This window comes from Homo sapiens, chromosome 10, assembly GCF_000001405.40.
Source record: "Homo sapiens chromosome 10, GRCh38.p14 Primary Assembly".
NCBI lineage: Eukaryota > Metazoa > Chordata > Mammalia > Primates > Hominidae > Homo > Homo sapiens.
This window is the reverse complement of record NC_000010.11, coordinates 47905677-47924150: the sequence shown is the minus strand read 5'-3', so window position 1 is coordinate 47924150 and position 18474 is coordinate 47905677. Positions and strand designations below refer to the sequence as shown.

At 48.2% G+C, this 18474-nt stretch overlaps 2 protein-coding genes across 6 annotated transcripts in view; one reads left to right on the top strand and one right to left on the bottom strand.

Moving 5' to 3' along the window:
* The window catches only part of ANXA8 (annexin A8), a 523804-nt gene that overhangs the window by 67646 nt on the left and 437684 nt on the right, over nucleotides 1-18474 (top strand). The gene's annotated exons all lie outside the window — the stretch shown is intronic.
* On the bottom strand, nucleotides 627-9908 carry NPY4R2 (neuropeptide Y receptor Y4-2). Of its 5 annotated transcripts, none has more exons than XM_017015464.2 (3): nucleotides 9810-9908; nucleotides 6848-7123; nucleotides 627-2222 (listed from the first exon to the last, which is right to left on the bottom strand). In XM_017015464.2, exon 3 carries the CDS (start codon nucleotides 2161-2163, stop codon nucleotides 1036-1038), a length of 1128 nt encoding a protein of 375 aa, XP_016870953.1. In that variant the 5' UTR covers nucleotides 2164-2222; nucleotides 6848-7123; nucleotides 9810-9908; the 3' UTR covers nucleotides 627-1035. The 5 variants fall into 5 exon arrangements, with proteins under 5 accessions (XP_016870953.1, NP_001382182.1, XP_011537417.1 ...); NM_001395253.1 differs by lacking the exons at nucleotides 6848-7123; nucleotides 9810-9908 and adding exons at nucleotides 3258-3413; nucleotides 5209-5489; XM_011539115.3 differs by lacking the exon at nucleotides 6848-7123.

Here is an 18474-nt window from a genome sequence, read left to right as displayed (position 1 = left end):
CAAGTCAGCTCAGTGGTCAGAGCACAGAGTGAAGGAGGCTGCAGCCATAGCCTTGAGTTCTGGAGGCCTCTGTAGTGGGTCAACAGTGGGGAGAGCCACAGAGTCTCGGTCCAGCTACTGTATCAAATGAGGTCCTGGGAGGCAAGGAAGGGCAGGCAGGAGACTATGGCTGCAGGAGCCTGAGCCCTGGCCCCCTTCCCATGCTGGACTCCTGTCCAGCACCAAACATTCAGCAGTGAGTGGCACCTTTACCATCAACCCACCATGGAAAACTTCCCTGGAGCTCTCTCCTTGTGCCAGGGCCTGCCCATGGCATGTAAGACACAAGCCCCATGATGGTATGGATTTCACCTGCAAGGCGCTTGCCATCTCATCGAGGAGAGGAACTTGCAGGCTGATTTCCATGTAAGGTGGAAGACACAGTGATAGAGAAAAGGGATGGAGTAGGAAATGAGTCCTGGAATTCCTGCTTCAGAGGGCTGTAAGCCAAGACTACTGCATCTATTGTCTTCAGCTGGATGCGCTAATGATCTAACAGTAATCCCACTGCTTTGCATCCACAGAATTCTTTACTTCTGAAGCACCTCCACACACCATCTCTCACAGAGGTGAAGAGTTGACCAAGGTCTAGAGCTCTGACTCCAAGCGCTCCTTCCCTCACCCCACAGTGGCCCCGTGGTCTCACTGGTGGAGGTGAAATCCCTGGGTTCCCAGGCCAGGCATCTGTTGCTGTGTCACCAGAATGAACCCTGCCTGCTGCCAGCAGACATCTCCGGCTCTGGCATCTTTCAGCTCAAGCTGCAAGGCTTACTGTGACCTCTGGAATCTGTGCTCAGAATTCTCCCAGGAACAAACAGCTGAAGTATCAAAATGCCAGTCTTCACGATGCAAATGGATGCAAAAACAGCTCTTGCCAGCCTATCTGGACCCCAGAAAGCCAGGAATGCTGGGGTGCCACCCCAGCTTGCAGTGTGCCCACTTAGCTAAGTGGAAGAGCCTGGCAAGGGACATGGCAGGGAGAAGACCTAGACCTGGTTAAATGGGATTGGACCTGCCACTTAGCCTCAGGGACCCTTTGGAGACTTCCGTATGTACTGTGGACAGGGGCAGATGCTCTGACTCCTCCAGGGGGGCGCTCTGCTGGCAAGTCAGCACCAGGGCCTTGATCTCCTTCTTGAAGTTGGTGTTGAGAAAGCCATAGATGAATGGGTTGACACAGGTGGAGGCCATGGCAAGCAAGTGGCACACTAAGAAGATGAGGTTCCCATGGCAGATGGGGATGGCCTCATGGTGCCAGTCTTCCAGGCTGTTGAACACATGCAGAGGCAGCCAGAGCACGGCAAAGGCCACCACCATCACCACCAGCACCACATTGACCTGCTTCATGTGCCCAGCTCGCAAGCTGTAGGTGCCCTTGTGAAACACGCGCCCCTGCCTCTGCAGGCGCCGGTAGATGCGTGCATAACAGACCAAGATGAAGCCCAGTGGGAGGCAGTACTGGAAGAGGAGCAGGAAGGTGGTGTAGATGGTGCGGTGGTGAGCCAGTGGCCAGGACTCGGTACAGACCACCTTATCCGCCAGGAACTCCAGAGCCTTGGAGTGGTTCTTGTGGAAGACATTCTCCAGGATGCTGTTGGCCAGGAAGGGCAGGGAGAGGACACAGGCAATGACCCAGATGAGCACAATCCCCAGGTAGGCCTGTGAGATGCTGGGCTTCCAGCCTGTTGGGTTGATGATGAGCTGATGCCTCTCCAGGGCCACGAGGACGAGCGAGAGGATGGAGACCGTCACCGACATGCACTGGATGAAGGCCGACATCTTGCAGAGGGTCTCTCCAAAGATCCAGTAGTCCATGATGGTGTAGACGGCGGTCAGCGGCTGGCAGAGGAGGCACATGAGGAAGTCAGAGAAGGCCAGGTTGGCGATAAGCAGGTTGGTCACGTTGGCTTTCTCCTTCTGCCTCACAGTTACACACATCAGGCAGAGGTTACCCAGGACCCCCACGACAGTCTCAATGCTGTAGGAAGTGACAATGAAGACCATCACGTCCACGGAATCCTGGCAATGTTCAGAGAAGTTGTATGGGGTGCCCAGGGGTTTGCTTCTGTTTTCACCTTGTGGAGATTTTGGGAGCAGCAAGGCCAGGAGGTGAGAGGTGTTCATAGTGGATGTGAAAAGATTCCAGGACTCTTGAACTAAGTGATACACTTGAGGGATGACGCCTACAAGGCAAACAGACAAACAATACTCAGGGATCATGCCCAGGGTAGAATCCAGAGAGGAGCAGGGCCGGGTAGAAAGGCTCTCAGCTGCTTCCAACCCAAGGCTGGTATCTGGAGGGGCTATTACCTAAGGCTCATGGTGAGACATTGGCATCCAATGATTGCTACCTTGTTAGAAGCACTTGTTGCATGCTGGGTACTGTGCTCAGCACTTTCGTCTATTAGCTAGTTTATTCCTAGAGGTAGATATTATCAATCCGTTTCATAGATGAGGAATCTAAGACCCTGAGATGGAAAGCAACTTGCCCATAGTCACACAGCTAATTAGTAACAGGGCCCAGTTACAAACTCAGGTCATCTAATGCCAGAACTTGTTCTACTAATTCCCTCCGGCCTCAGGATGAGGCTGTTCTGATGATAAAGAAGTTGGAGTGCTGTATGCAGACTTTAGTGACGGAATTGTTCAGGGAACATGGGTAGAATGCCCCTTGTCACATTTTATCTGAATGGAGACAGCAATAAATGCCACTCTGCACAGGATTGCTTGTGTCCTTCCACGGCACCCCATTCCCTTCAAGATAGAGCTAAAGCCTCGGGGATCCACAATCAGTGCACCCTCCTGGTCTCAGCCCCTCCCTGCCCTGGTAGCCTTGTTTTTTAGGTGATACCTGGCAAAACTGAAGACTGCCCAGTATGCAAAGCCTGGCTCATCAGCACACCAGCTTCTTCCTACTACCCACCATGTGCACAGACATACCTGGCCAAAGTCACAGGTGCCCAGTGCCCTCCACAGAACCTACTCCATGACTATGTTCAAGTCACTTGATGCAGTGTGCAGCTCACAAGCACACCAGACTCTTCCACATCTCTATGCCCTGGTACAGGCTGTCCCTTCTCCGAGGACCTCCTCAGCACAACGGACCCCCTGCCAAGACTGAGTTGGAATTTAGACTCCAGAGTTCCCCCGTGTTAGTGCCAATGATGGATGTTTTGCATGGGAAGCACCATACCACTACATACATCATTGTGACTCACCTCTCAGATTCTCTAGTCATTATTAATCCCACAGGGTTGCAGTTCTCAACCTTCAGTAAACATCAGAATCATTCTAGAAGCATGTTGAAAGTGCACATCCCAGGGCCCTTCCACCAGGAGATGTAGTTAAGTGAATCCAGGATGGGGGCCAGGAATCTGTATTTAACAAGTAGACTATGTGATTCTGATGCACATGGCCCTTGGACCCCATCTTGTAAAACACTGTAGCAGAAAACCCTATTCGAGATATTCTTTAAGTCTCATATCATGGCCATATGTATTTTTTACATGATCAATTGCTATGTTAAGGCAGTTTTTGCAGAGCACAAGGCCAAAATCAACCAGAGCTCAGTAAAATCTATTTGTCGGCTGTCATGAATGTCACTTGCTGTGCATCTGATCTACTTATAAAGATGAGTTTCTAAGGTCAGGACTTCAACACCTGCCTGGCCAACATGGTGAAACCCCGTCTCTGCTGAAAATACAAAAATTAGCCAAGTGTGGTGGTGCATGCCTGTAGTCCCAGCTACATGGGAGGGTGAAGCAGGAGAATCACTTGAACCTGGGAGGCGGAGGTTGCAGTCAGCAGAGAGTGCACCACTGCACTCCAGCCTGGGCAACAGAGCGAGACTCTGTCTCAAAAAAAAAAAAAAAAAGAGTCTCATTTGGTCATTTAAAAGATCAAGCTGTGAATTCACCTGATAGTTTACAGTCTGGTTATTTAGGAACCAGATCTCGAAGGCAGGAAGATTTCTCCAGCACTATGGTCTTCGGGCAAAAAGGGCCATTTGGGGCTGAACATGGCAAAATAAACTATTCCAGAGCCAAACACAGGGCCCAATATAAGATAAAGAACAGTCGCAGCTGCATGAACCTGTGGCAGAGGCACTGCACTCAGAAGCAGCAAATGGGCCAGAACCCAAGGCTCTGGGTGACCATCAGCAAGGCTTGGCCAGTGGTGTGGAGAAACACCATTCATCCCAAACCAACCACCTAAAGCAGGATCAGAGTGGAAGGACTGGGCTGGGAGGGCTCCAGAAAATGCTCACTGCTTCATTCACCCACTCAATAAGTGTGTGTCAAGCCCTGGGCTAGAAACAAGGGCTGCAAAGATGACTTATACAGTCATGGCCCTCCCAGAGCAGAGGGGCTGACCAGCACGAATGCAGATGGAACTCATTGCCATTGCCAACACCAATATGAAAGAGAGGCCTGTGAGTTGAGAGATCAGAGAAGGAGCAGGGAGCAGGGAGGTGAGAGAAGAGGTGGCAATGGTACAGGGCTCAAAGGCTGAAGAGGAGTCAACCAGCCAAAGGGACAGGGAGAGGAGGGAACTCGAAGTGCAAGGAACAGCATGTGCAAAGGCACAGAGGCAGGAAGGAGCAGAGCCTGCTGGGAAAAGTAAGCAGAATAAGAGGTTCCAGGGTGGCAGATGATGAAGCTGGAGTGGTGGGCCAGACCAGCAAGGTCAGGTCCATTCCAGTAAGATCACTTGGATATAGAAAATGGATTGGCAGAGAGGGCCAAGACAGGAGGAGGAGGAGCACTGAAAAGGTGGTGTTGGGCATCTGCCTGGGGCTGCTGGGCTTGGGGTACACTGACCAGTGAGGACCAGGGGACCTCAAGTCCCTCAGGCACACCCAAGGGGGTGGCGAGTGTATGAGGGGGAGGGTAGATTATTACGCAAGGTCAATAAAATGGTGTCTCTGCATTTTGTCCCCAGGCAGCTCTCCAGATACAAAAACTAGAACCAGCTGCAAGCCCCAACAGGGACCCCCTGCAGCCTGCCTTCCCAGTCAATCAGAGGAAAATTAATGAATCATACACACAATGCTAATCTCCCAGTGGGGTTAGAATAGGGAAGGCCCTTTGCTTTGTCTCCTGAAATCTCAGCAAAAGCTACTATATCCTAATGCCCATAGCGCCCAGACACCTCAGATGCACCCCTTACCTCCTTGGCTTGCGGCTTACAGGGTGCGGATGGGGCCGCCCATGTCTCAGGTGAGGAGACTGAGGTCCACAGTGGGGGTAGGATGCTCCCCAGATCCAGTGTGACGCTCTGCGCCCCGGGCCAAGGGCAGGCAGCGCGCCCGGCTTCCCGGAGGGTTCGTACCGGGGCCCACTCGGCCCCGCCCCCGGCCGCACTCCTGTGCCCAGGGGGCACCAGGCGCGGGGCAGAGCCGCGCCTGCTTCACCTGCTCCTGCTGCCCCGATGCTGCCTGCGTGCAGAGTGGAGCGGCTGCTACGCTCCCGCCTGCGCCCGCCCAGCCTGCCCCTTGCGCCCGCCCACGAGAGGGCTCCAGCCGCCCGCCTGCCCCGGGACCCCAGCACTCGCCCTGGGGAGCCGCATCTTGAGCCCCCAAGGCCTGCCCGGAACTGCAGCCCTGCCTGCGTGTGTCTCTCACGCCCACCTCAACCCTGGATACAGGCAGGCTGGAGCTGCGCTGTCTTTCTCTCTCTCTTTCTTTCTTTCTTTCTTTCTTTCTTTCTTTCTTTCTTTCTTTCTTTCTCTCTCTCTCTCTCTCTCTCTCTCTCTCCCTCCCTCCCCCTCCCTCTCTCCCTCCCTTTCTCTTTCTCCAGGAGTGTTTCTCTCTGTCTAGGGGTGTGTGCGTCTGCCTGTCTCTCTCTCTCTCTGCCTCAGTTTCCTCATCCATGAAATGGGTATAAAAAGACCTGCCTTTCATAAGTTCGTCCAGAAACATTACTTGCAGACCTCCTATGAGCCTGGCTCTCCTGCTGGGCACCAGAGCTGGACAAGACAGGCTCCCTGTCCTTGGTTCCTTCTGGAGCTCTCAGCCCTGGGGGAGAAGACAGACAGGGTACAAGGAAAGAGGGAAATAAATTATTACAGGGGGTGAGATGCTGTGAGCAAATGGGTTCGATAGGCCAGATGGATGGCACAGCCACGGCAAAAGCCCTGAGGCTGGGAGCATTCAGCCCCTGGAGACCAGGGGAGGGCAGTGTGGCTGAGAATGTCAGCCAGGGTGAGGGAAGGAGATGGGCATCCAGGGTGTGAGTGAAAACTCAGGGTGGGCCCTGGAAGTGGAGTGTCTTATCTCAGGCAGTCCCAAGGTTGTGGCGATGAGAATTCAATGAGAATGGTCACTTTCTCCTTTGGAGCTGAGATGCACATGACTTGGCTATAATGGAACAGCTTTGCTTACAAGGGCTGCTCCTGTTTTGAATACACTAGCTTATAATTCCCTGCCCCCCATCCCCACATGGCAAAGTCACATATGCGCTTAGAGAACCTCCTGAGAGTAACAGATCTGCTTCAAGAGCACCTCCTAAACACTGGACATACACACCTGTCCAGTGAACCTCCTGTGGCTCCCCATGGAAATGTCCCCATGAAGTCATGGCAGTGGTCCCTCTAGAATGGCAGCTGCCGTTTGTAGTGCAGAGACTCTGCAGACACTACCTTAGTTAATCATCACAACAGCTCTGAGAGGTGGGCATTTTTATTCCCATCGTGCTGATGAAGCAAAGTGACACTCAGTGGTTGAGCAACTTGCCCAAAGTCACTCAGCTAAGAAACAGCCAGATCCAGGATGCGAACCCACCTGCCAAGCCCCCAGGCCTCTGCTCACCATCGCTGTAGACTGGCACCTGTCATCTCTTCTTTCTGGACCATGCTCCTTCCTGTCTTGACTACCTGGAAAGCGGCTGCTCCTCCGTTGCACCCCAGCTCCGATGTCCCTGCTGCCATGACAAATTCCTACCACCCTCCCATGCTCTGCTGCAGAGGCAGATGTAGCAGCCTAGTTGGTTGTCTGCCTGAGCAGCTTTGTCTCCCCACTCCCCTATGTCTAGGTCACAGCTCTTGTCTCCGCCTCCAGATCCCAGCACAAGTCCACACACAGCATCTGACAAAGAAAGAAAGGAAGAAAGGAAGACGGAGGGAGGGAGGACATTTAAGAAGACCTGATTGTAACGGTAGCTTCCAGACATGTAAAATCAGAGAACATTGCTTGACCAGAAACTGCTCAACTCCAGCTGGGAGCTCTATGGACACCCGTCCTCTGTGCAGGCAAGAACGCAGCCACTGTCACCTCCTTCTTGCAGGGCAGCTGTGTGGGGTCTGGATTTGCTGGTAAGCCCTTGGAGGCAAGCTTCCACATAGACACATTTGAGAACTACTGCGCAAGGCACGCAGCCTGAACCCTAGCTCTTGTGGGTCAGAGAACAGCAGAAGAGCTGAAATGGTGGTAAAAGCAGCAAACAGCTCCCTTGCCAGGCAGAAGCATGTGAACCTGCCCTTAGTCCATCCTCATGCCTAACTGGTGTGGTATGATCATCCCATCTCACAGGCGAGAAAACTGAGCCTCAAAGAAGTAGAGTGTCTTGTCTCAGCCAGCCAACTTGTAGATGGTAGGGCTGGACTTTCAATCCAAAGTCCAAGCTCTTCCTTCAGGACCATAATGCCCAGGAGAGGGGTAGGTAGCTCTTCCTAGCAGACATTTCAGGTTAAACCAATACTCCCAGAGTTGGCTGCCAGACCCTTTGCCTCTGCTAGGGAAAGGAGACAGCACCCTCTGGAGGCAGCAGAGCCCTGCACCAATCATAGCCAGAGCACTTGAAGTTCCTCAAGAAAGCAGTCTGTAAGAAAGAACTGGGAGCTGCTGTTCTTCCCCCTTGCTGGAGTCCAGGGTCCGGAGCACAGCCTGAGAGGCTCTGCCAGTCAGCCAGGCTGCATTCTGCCATCTCTGGGGAAGGGGCTAGGTAGGATTTTCCTTCTGCCATAAAAGTGGCTGGCTGGTGTGACCTGCTGGAGACTGCTTCTCCTAAATAGCTTAGTGACAGGTTCCCTTCCCACCCCATCAGGAATGTTCCTCATGAATCACCCGGAAGTCAGACAGGCGCACAACTCCCTCAGGTGTGTGCAGCGCTCCACATTACCTCTCTGAACCTCAGTCCACTGCATGCTCAGTATTCCCCCTGGTCCTATGAGGAAGCTGAAGATCAGCTAGTCAGGGGATGGATAGACCCCAGGCACCCTCCTTACTGTAAATTTGCTGGGATTTGGAATCAGGCCCATTCACAGTTGCTTACACCACATTGAGAGTCAGTGTGGTGACTGGTCACAAGCCGGGCACAGAAGCCGTCTCGCATTGCCCCAGATTCTCATCTGCAAAGCGGAGCTAATAACAAAGTTTGCCTCGGGAGATGTTGTGGCAAGAAATGAGTTGAGATGAGAATGGCTCTCCACACAGTTATGGGCAAGAAACACCCTGCAGAGCTGTGGCTATAAGCATTCCTGTGTCCTGCATGCTTGCCCACCTCCCTGAGCCTCTGCCCCAGAGCTAATGGGCTGTCCCGACCAATTCTAGCTGGAAACCTCTCCAAACCCTCATCACGACCCACACATCTCACCTGGACAGTCCTAAGAGGCCCTGCAAGCTCAGCCATGGTGAGCACCTCCTAGACACTGGACAGACATACACAACTCTCCAGTGAAACCTCCTGTGGCTCCCCTTGGAAATGTCCCCATGGAGTCATGGCAGTGGTCCCTCTAGGATGGGTCCCTCTGAAATCAGTCTGACTCTCTTCCTCTTTCAGGCCTTCTAGTGCTGCCTCCCCCAGACTCATTCTGCATGTAAACTCTCCATTTTCAGGGAGTATGGTTGAGTTTCTCAGATCCAGGCTTGTGTAGATGTTGCTTCCACGGCCTGAACTCATCAAGCTCTCCATTCTCAGAGACCCATCCCACACACACAGCTCCCTGAGAAATGTCCTTGGCCATCCCTGCCCGCAACCTGTGCATTCTGAAGGGCAGCTGCCAAGCATGGTCCACTCACATATAGCTAGCTCCCGGAAGCTGTCCTACTTTTTTCATGGAAGGCTATAGCAGAGGGAAGCCACATCAGCTATCCGGGGAAACCAGTTTATTTTCCAGTACTTATAACAGAGAACCAAAGATCCTCACACATTTAGGAAATCAACAGCACAAAGGAGATAGGTCAAGATGAATAAACAAAATAACTGACCCCAAAAGAAGCTGAAATAACTTAGGGAATAGAAAATAACTTTAAGAGACCAAAACTTCCTTTAATGCCTAAATTAGAGAAATTACTGAATCCATATAACAAGAGCAGATTGCCATGAAATAAGACAGACTAAGAAAGCAAGAAAGAATCCTTGAAAACTAAGCATGACTACTGAAATTTGAAAACACATCATTAGAAGGGATGGGAGAACCAGCTTAGGAAATATCCCATAATGTAGAGCAAAAACACAGAAAGATGGAAAACTTCAGAGCTAAAATAAGAGACATGGATGATTAACACTAATGACCCATCATCCAATTACTAAAATTTCCAGGAAGGAAAAATCAAGACAATGAAAGGCAGCATATCAGTCATAGTCTGCACAGGACACATAATTCACCCCCAGATTGTCAAACAAAGGGATTTTAATAAAAAGGTAACTTACAGAGGTGTGGGAAGCATTAAAGGAAAGAAACAAGAAATGGTGAGGCACCCAGAGACTGGCAGAAGACAGAAGCAATCACCACCCTACAGTTAAAAGAACAAAAGGAGAAAACCACATTACCACAGCCAGAGGACTGCAGAGGAAGGGCCCCCAGTGGGAGCTTCTGTAGTGTGGAGGCATGCCACCGCCTCCAGACAGCATGGAAGCAAGGGGAAGTAGAAAAGAATTCTACCAACCTCTCTCTCCTTCCACTTCCAGTCTCCTGTCAGTCCCTCCCATTGACCAAACCCAACTGGAGCCCTGCCAGCAAAGGAGCCATCAGCTTCCCCTGGCACAGGGAAGAGCAGAGAACCACAGTAGAGAATGCATCTGGGTGGGGTGTGAGCAAAATAGTCGACACATAGAATCATCAATAGCAAGAGTATTCCAGAGCTACAGATTAAAAGGAAGCCCGAGGAACTGCTCCACACCTAGACAGGTACTGCAAAATTTCAAAACACCAAAAAAAAAAAAAAAAAAAAAAAAAAAGAAGATTCTAAAATGTTCCATGGGTGGGAGCAGGAAGAGAAAGGTTGCCTACAAAGGAAAGGAGAGACAGAGACCATTCTCAGTCTTGTCAACAACATAGGATGATGGAAGACTCTGAAAAGATGGAGCTATATTTTTAGGACTCCTGGAAATATATTTTGAACCTAAAACGCTCATCTCAGCGATAATATCAAGTGTAAAGGTAGAATAAGGATATTTCTAAACTTGCAAGCTTACATTTCCTGAATCCTTTCTGAGAGAGTTCATTAAGGAAGTGTATTAGTCCATTTTCACACTGCTATAAAGAACTACCTAAGACTGGGTGATTTATAAACAAAACAGCTTTAATTGACTCGCAGTTCCACATGGCTGGGGAGGCCTCAGAAAACTTACAACCATGGCAGAGGGGGAAGCAAGGTACATCTTACATGGCGGCAGGAGAGAGGCTAGGGACTCCCAAACACTTTTAAACCATCAGATCTCGTGGAAACTTACCATCATGAGAACAGCATGAGGTAAACTGCCCCCATAATCCGATTACCTCCCACCAGGTACCTCCCTCGGCATGTGGAGATGACAATTAGAGATGAGATTTGGGTGGGGACACAGAGCCAAACCATATTAGAAGGTACTCCAGCACAACTGGTATAAAATCAAGCAAGGAGAGATGAGGTCAAAGAAATGGTTGAACAGGCCCAGGAGCCTGGGATTTTCTTTCCCTACGCAAATAGTAAACCTGCATTACTGTATTTCTAGGGGAATTACAGGGATCGATGCCATGATTAAAGACATGAAAGATGCAGGGACAGGGAGGCCTGTCACATTTCTGCCCACTTGGCTCACCTCTTTAGCTCTTTAGCCTGTGCAGGAAGTTGCTGAATCTTGGAGAATGACTGTATGTCGTCGTAAATTTAATCAGGCAGTAACTCCAATTTTAGCTGCTTTTCTAAATGCAACATAGAACAACTTAACCACTCTCAGCACTTAGTATGTAGCTATTGACTCAGCTTGTGTTTTCTCCCCATCTGTATCGGTAAGAACCAGCAGAAGTTTGCTTTCACCTGGCAAGGATAGAAGTACAAAGTCAGTGTCTTCTCCCAGATCATGTTCGTTTTCCAGCTTTCTGTTATAGTGTGGTCTACAGAGACCTTGATCTTCTGAACATCCCACAGATCCACAGATGGTATGCTGGTGCACTACACTGGTAGCACATGCTGATTGAACTGATGAGCAGGGAGAATAAACCAGATGCCTTCATAAGATGCATGCAGCACATGGGCATGGGTGGGACAGTAGCCATCATAGCCCGGGTAGTCTAAGCTAAGCACACGGGATATGTACCAGATGGCACCCATCTGGCGTGGGGGAGCCTGGCATGGCATGTCAGAGCCAGAATAGGACAAAGAGTGGCCATGCAGGGAGGCAGGGGCACGGTGGCCTAGCACAGGGTGTTAGAGTCCAAGTACTGTCAAATGAAAGTCCACATGGCAGAAGGGGACAACCAAGTGTGGATGCCAGAGCCACACAGAATGAGTGGAGGGGCAGAGTTCTGCTATGGAAGATTGGGTATATGCAGGGGGACCAACTGAGCAAAGTTGGGAGCCAGTTTTCTCACTCATGGAGAAGGCAGTCATGAATATGGAAGGAGGGAAACCCAGAATAAGCCCTGTGGTTTTGATTAGAATTGAAAGTATTGAAGTGAGCTCATGGTTTTCTATATAGAGAGATAAATATTGATCTAATAGTGTGTGTGCATATATATCCTTGCTCTGTCCACTGAGAGAGTCTAGGAGCAGTGATACCCCAATAGCAATGAACACTCCTAGCACCCATATATTGACTTCTAAATGCCATTCTCCATTAAAAGAATCCAAGTCTCCTTCGGAAAATGGCTGATTCCAGGGCAAGGGCTGGGAAAGCCCAAGATAAACCTGAAAGATCTTGGGAGCTAGAAAGTAATGAAGTACTCTAAGAATGAAGGGTGCAGGCCAGAAAAGCCCAGAACCTGGCTTGAAGGGGCCCTTGATGGCCAAATCTTCGACCATGTGAGCATCAAAGTAAATAATAATGATGATGGATAATAACCTACTGAATAAAATAAAAATCTGAGTCCATTTCAATATAACTAAATGATGGAGTAAAGTGACAGTTTGATGAGGAATGGAATATATTCATGGTTTCAGTGTGCCTCATCACAAAATATTTGTTTATTACAAAGAGAAGAGTCACCTTACAGTGGAGAAGGCTGGCAGTCACCTCTGTAATCAAATGATCATAGCGAACACCATCTCTAATCCTAGAGTGAAATTACTCACCGCATGACAGGATGCAAGGAAAACGTAGCACAGCTTCTGTGATCTTCCTGCTGAAGGTGCATGCAAGTGAATCCAACCCTGAAGAAGCATCAGCCTCAACCCAGGTGAGGGACATACTACAGAATAACTGGCCTGTCATCTGGAAACATAAGGCCATGGAAGTCAAGGAAAGAAGGGAGAACCATTCCAGATTGAAGGAGACCAGAGACAGGAGAATGAAACCTGTGTATCTTGGGACAGCTGATGAAACTTTAGTGGAGCCTGCAGATGAGGCGGTAGCAAGGTGTTCATGCAAATTGCCGGGATCATGCTCTCAAATGGCATAGAAAAATTAATGTTCTTTATCCTCACTTTCAACTTTTCTATAAGTTTAAGATGATTTAAATTATATTTTTAAAGGTGTCAAAAATTTTCTTCATCTTTATAGAATGAAACAGAAATAAAAATTGAAAGTGGTAACCTCTGGAAATAGAACTGGGGGAAAGAAGGAAAGAATATCAACGGGAGTTATCTGACCCATAGGATTTTAGGTCATTTTTTGCTTTGTTTCCTTTTCTAAATTTCTCTCTATTAAAAAAGAATGAATGATTACAACTTTATAAAGGAAAGAATCCATAAAATATATGTAATTAAATCCCATGGTACAAAGGGCAAAGAAGCTTGGCAACAACGCTTCCAGCCTCAGTTTTGTCATATGTAAAATGGAGCAAAGATGGGTTCAGGCTCATTACAAACTGGTGAGGGTTCAAATAATTAAGGGATAGGGATAGAATATCAAAGTATTTTCAAAGCCACATAGAAGGGAGGTGTGAGGGAGGGTTCCTAGGACTTCAAAGTCGGAAGCCGATAAGGGCCTGGCCTTCCGAGAAGCCTTCTAAGTAGAGATTCTGGCCAGCAGGGCTGCTGAAGTGGGCACACCTGCTGTAGGAGGCGTCTCCTTGGGCCCTGAGGGATCACCTGTTCTTTGTTTGCCTTTGCTTCTCTGCTGAGGCCATAAAGAGGCTGGGCTGTAAAATAACCTACTCTGGCCCCAGGAAAGAGATAAGAGATGTCAACTGGGCAGCCAACACCTTCCCTGCCTCCCACCCCAAACAGCTGGCCCTGCCCTCCCCACCCCCACCTCTTCTTCTCTCCAGAGTAAAGCTGGACTTCCCTACTGCCTCCTGCCTGTCCCTTCTCACCAATGCTGCCACCCTTTTTCTCCACTCTATTTCAAGGAAGTAGCCATCTGCCACTAAAACTTTATCCCATGGTCCAATCCATGAGCTTGAATCCAACCAGCCCAGAGCAGCATTTTCCCCCTTGATAGAGAATAAGAGAAAGACAAAGACAAAGGCACATTATTTCCCTAAAGTCCTATATTCCCTGTCTTCTGTGAACCAGTGAAATTATCAACCCACAGTGGGTCAGCTGCCCTTCTGTGGAGCACATCAGAGGAAAAATACCAACGCAGCCCTGGCTGCACACTTTGTGTCGACTCTCCCAATCCTTCTCCCTGCCTTCTGGAACTACAGAGATTCATTCAGTCTACTGTCATTCAACTAATATTTTAAAGCAGTTCAGTAGACTGAATGTTACATGGACAATAGACTCAGTGTTACAGAGACACTGGATGTACAGTTTCGCTTCCAAAGACATGTTATAAAAAAGGGCACAAATGGGATAATAAGTAAAATAGGCACCAGATTACCATATGCTTTGAACAGAGAATTTACCCTATTCTATTCCCCATCTCAAATTGTGCTTAGCTATGTTGTCCTACCAAAATTCCCTGATATGGTGATATATTAGTTAGCTAAAGCTGAGTAAAAAAGAGCCACAGAATCTTAGTGACATACAATTGACATGACTGCAGGTCAGCTGGGGCTAGCTGACCTAGGCGAGCTCAATGGGGCAGCTCTGTTTCAAGCTATGAGTCCAACTGAACTTGGCTCCTCACTGAGATTTAAACTTCTCCACTGATATTCCATCTGGGGCTCAGGCTGAAGGAGTTCAAAGAAGTGTTATGCATGGAGATGGCAGCAGTTCAAGAGGACAAGCCCAGCTATGCAAGGTAATTTCCATTCCTCCGTGAGTCACATCTGCTAACATCCATTGACCAAAGCAAGCTACATGGCTGAGCACAGTTGAGAGGCAAAGAACTGTCCCCCACCTACCCTGAGGCCAAAGCAAGTCAGAGCCATGCCCAACATTAATAGAACCAGTAACTACACTCTTCCAGTGAAATGGAGAGGTGGAAGAGTGAATATGTTTGAACAGTAGTCTCATCTATCATAGTCAATGATACAATTTCAGAAATATTAAGGAAACCAGTATTTGTATCTATCTCATTGAATATAATAATGAAAAATTTCTCATCTTACATTACCAAGTCCAACTCACTTTTTTCCACAGATAATTTTAAATCTTCCCCCAAAAGAAGCCCCATTCCATTTTCTCATGGAAATAATAAACTCAAAATTTCCCATCCCCTAGAGCAGTTTCACTCTGAAACAGATACAGTTTCCCTACACTTCCAGACTGGGCTATAGAAAGTTCTACAAGGACACACAAACATAGACAAAAAAGAATATTGCAATATTAGTCGTGTGTGTGTGTGTGTGTGTGTGTACATACATCACATGAGAAAATTCCCAGATCCAAATGAGGTATAATAGCAGCTTATAATTAGAGTAACTATTCCATTATACAAAAAAATTATCTCCCAAAAGGTACTGTTAAATCAAGTTTAGCCGGCCGGGTGCGGTGGCTCACACCTCTAATCCCAGCACTTTGGGAGGCTAAGGCAGGTGGATTACCTGAGGCCAGGAGTTTGAAACCAGCTTGGCCAACATGGTGAAACCCCATCTCTACTAAAAATACAAAAAATAGCCAGGAATGGTGGCACACACCTGTAGTCCCACCTACTTGGGAGGCTGAGGCAGGAGAATCGCTTAAACCCAGGAGATGGAGGTTGTGATGAGCCGAGATCACGCCACTGCACTCCAGCCTGAGTGACAGAGTGAGACTCCGTCTTAAAAATATAATAAAAAATAAATCAATTTAGCCTAAATCTGCCTCCTTACATATTTTAAGTTCAGCCTAAAGGTTTTTCTGTACATCATGAACTATAACAAGTGGAGGTGTAAACAGACTGTAGTCTACACTTGTGCTAATCAATGAGTTTTGGCCAATCAAATGTAGCCAACTGTTTGAACCCTGTTCAAATAAGGTGAACACCAAGCTGTAACCAATCAGCTATTTCTGTACCTCACCTCCGTTTTCTGTACCTCACTTTCCTTTCTCTGTCCATAAATCTTCCTCCATCACGTGGCTGTGCTGGAGTCTCTGAGCCTACTCTGGCTCAGAAGGCTGCCCAATTCGCGAATCATTCATTGCCTGCTCACTTAAGCTCCTTTAAATTTAATTCAGCTGAAGTTTTTCTTTTATCAGATGGTGTCAGAGCAGATCTGAAGTAGAGCTTCTAACGACTCCCAGGAGTGCTGAGTGACCGAAGCCAGGTACCTGCAGGACCTATTTGTGTTCGTTGATCTCTCAGAGCAGTTGGAAGTCATGGTAAGTTTTCTCTCCAATGTCAGAGCTCCACTGATTTGTGTTTTGAGCTCTCCGAGTTTCTTTGAGCAAATTTCTGTTCCAAACTGGGTTTGGAAGTCATGACAGAAACTGGGCTGGTTCAAGGAATGGATTTGATCTGGTAATTAACTGGCTTGGATACAGTTAGAGGCCTCTTACATCTGACTGGGTCAGAAAGAAATGTAGTAAATGGTAATATTGCAGGGGTGTAAAATTAGGCTATTGAAAATTCACAGGGATTTTTGTGTTTTACCCCTTTGTTTCTTTTTTTTTTTTTTTTGAGACAGTCTCACCTTGTTGCCCAGGCTGGAGTGCAGTGGCGCAATCTCAGCTCACTGCACTCTCTGCCTCCCAGATTCAAGTGATTCTCCTGCCTCAGCCTCCTGAGGAGCTGGGATTACAGGCGTCTACCACCACGCCCTGCTAATTTTTTGTATTTTTAGTAGAGATGGGGTTTCACCATGTTGGCCAGGCTGGTCTCGAACTCCTGACCTCAGGTGATCCACCCGCCTCGGCCTCCCAAAGAGCTGGGATAACAAGTGTGAGCCACTGCACCCGGCCTTGTTTCATTTTTCTTATGCACTTTGGTAGGAGAAAAATCATTGGCTAGGTTGATCAAAGGAACCTGAGAGCAAAGCCAAAATCTGAGGTAAAAATTGAATCCTTAATTTCTTTTTTTTCTTTAATTTGAGACGGAGTCTCGCTCTGTCGCCCAGGCTGAAGTGCAGTGGCGTGATCTCGGCTCACTGCAAGCTCCGCCTCCCGGGTTCACGCCATTCTCCTGCCTCAGCCTCCCAAGTAGCTGGGACTACAAGCACCCGCCACCACGCCCGGCTAATTTTTTTTGTATTTTTAGTAGAGACGGGGTTTCACCGTGTTAGCCAGGATGGTCTCGATCTCCTGACCTCGTGATCCGCCCACCTCGCCTCCCAAAGTGCTGGGATTACAAGCATGAGCCACCGCGCCCGGCCTGGATCCTTAATTTCTGAAGAACTGAGTTCCTTCTGGCTAATACCTGCATAAGTGGTAGGCCCCGGAAGCAGCAGTCTTATAGAAATGGTGAAATCTTACTAAAGATAACTTAGAGTGGAATGTTCCAAATGAACAAAACTGCACTGAAGTGCATTTGAAAATGAGGGCTCCCAAGTTAGTCTCATCTAGGGATGTCTATTGATATGCAGAAGCTTCTAAAAAGATTTCAGTATTTTTATTTAAAGACTTTACAAAAGGCAAATCGAAAGCTTATGCGACTCATTGACTTAAAAAATTAAATCTGCTAGCCTTTTAGCTTAGTTACGATCCCGATCCAAAGGAAATAGACCGCAGCACCAATGGGCTGACTTTGGGTGAGTAGTGGGTTCATTTTACCTGGTAAAGGATGGGATTGGGTTGGAGGCCTTCCCCCTCAGTAAAGTCCCTCTTTGTTAAACGTGGATTTGGCACCATGGGGTTAACCACTATTCTCTTTGGAGTGATCTGCCTTGCACTCTTTGCTAACACCAGTGGGTGATAGGATTAGGCGTGTACCAGGCCATAGAACGTGGGGAACTTTTTCTCCCCAAAGGGGAAAATTTGGGAGCTGATGGGACTGCTCGAAAAGATCCTTCACGACCAACAATCAGCCGCCTGAACTTTTGATTCAGCATCCCTGCAATGGGTGGGTCTTTCTCTGGCCTCCCTGAGCTCCTCATCTTCCCCACTCTGCCACAGGCAATGCTTTTCTCCCTTTCTCTTCTTTCCCTTTCTTTTCTGTTAAAAGGGCGTCCATCTTGCCCAAAGATCACATGTTGAAACTCCTTTAATCCACTTTGAATGTATTAAAGATGATAGGGACCAACTGGGGGCAAGTTTGAGCCTCACAAGTTCGATAGTGGGTGCTAAGCAGAGTGGCTAATGTCTATGTTTTGTCACATGTATTTTTCTCTGGCCAGAATGGAAAACATTAATTTGGGTCCTCCATGCAGCTAGTTGGGTGGCAACTTGCAAAATTGAGAGGCTTTTGCCTATGGTTACAAACTTTGCTACAGATTCCTGAAACAAGCAGAAAACTGAATGAGGTCTCCATCTTGTTTTATGTCCTGGGGAGCTTGACCTTGTAACAGCGTGGCAGTACTTTCTCTTGGTCTCTGCCATCTAGGGAAAAGGAATTTTGGGGCTCATATCATAGTTAGCTCTAAAAATTATTTTGAGTAGTTAAAAGCCATTGCAAGCTCAAAATTGATTGCTCTAGACTCTTTGTGGGAAAAGCAGTGGAAACTGCCCAATGTTTTAGCTCAGCAGCTAAGGGTTTGCCATTTTATAATGGCAGCCTGGGTTCTATCCTAGCTTACAGAATGAGTACATTCTGGTGGACATCTCTGTGACCTTTA

What these genes read in the sequence shown, in the direction of transcription:
- NPY4R2 (XM_017015464.2), bottom strand. Translation starts at nt 2,163, where the DNA reads ATGAACACCTCTCACCTCCTGGCCTTGCTGCTCCCAAAATCTCCACAA.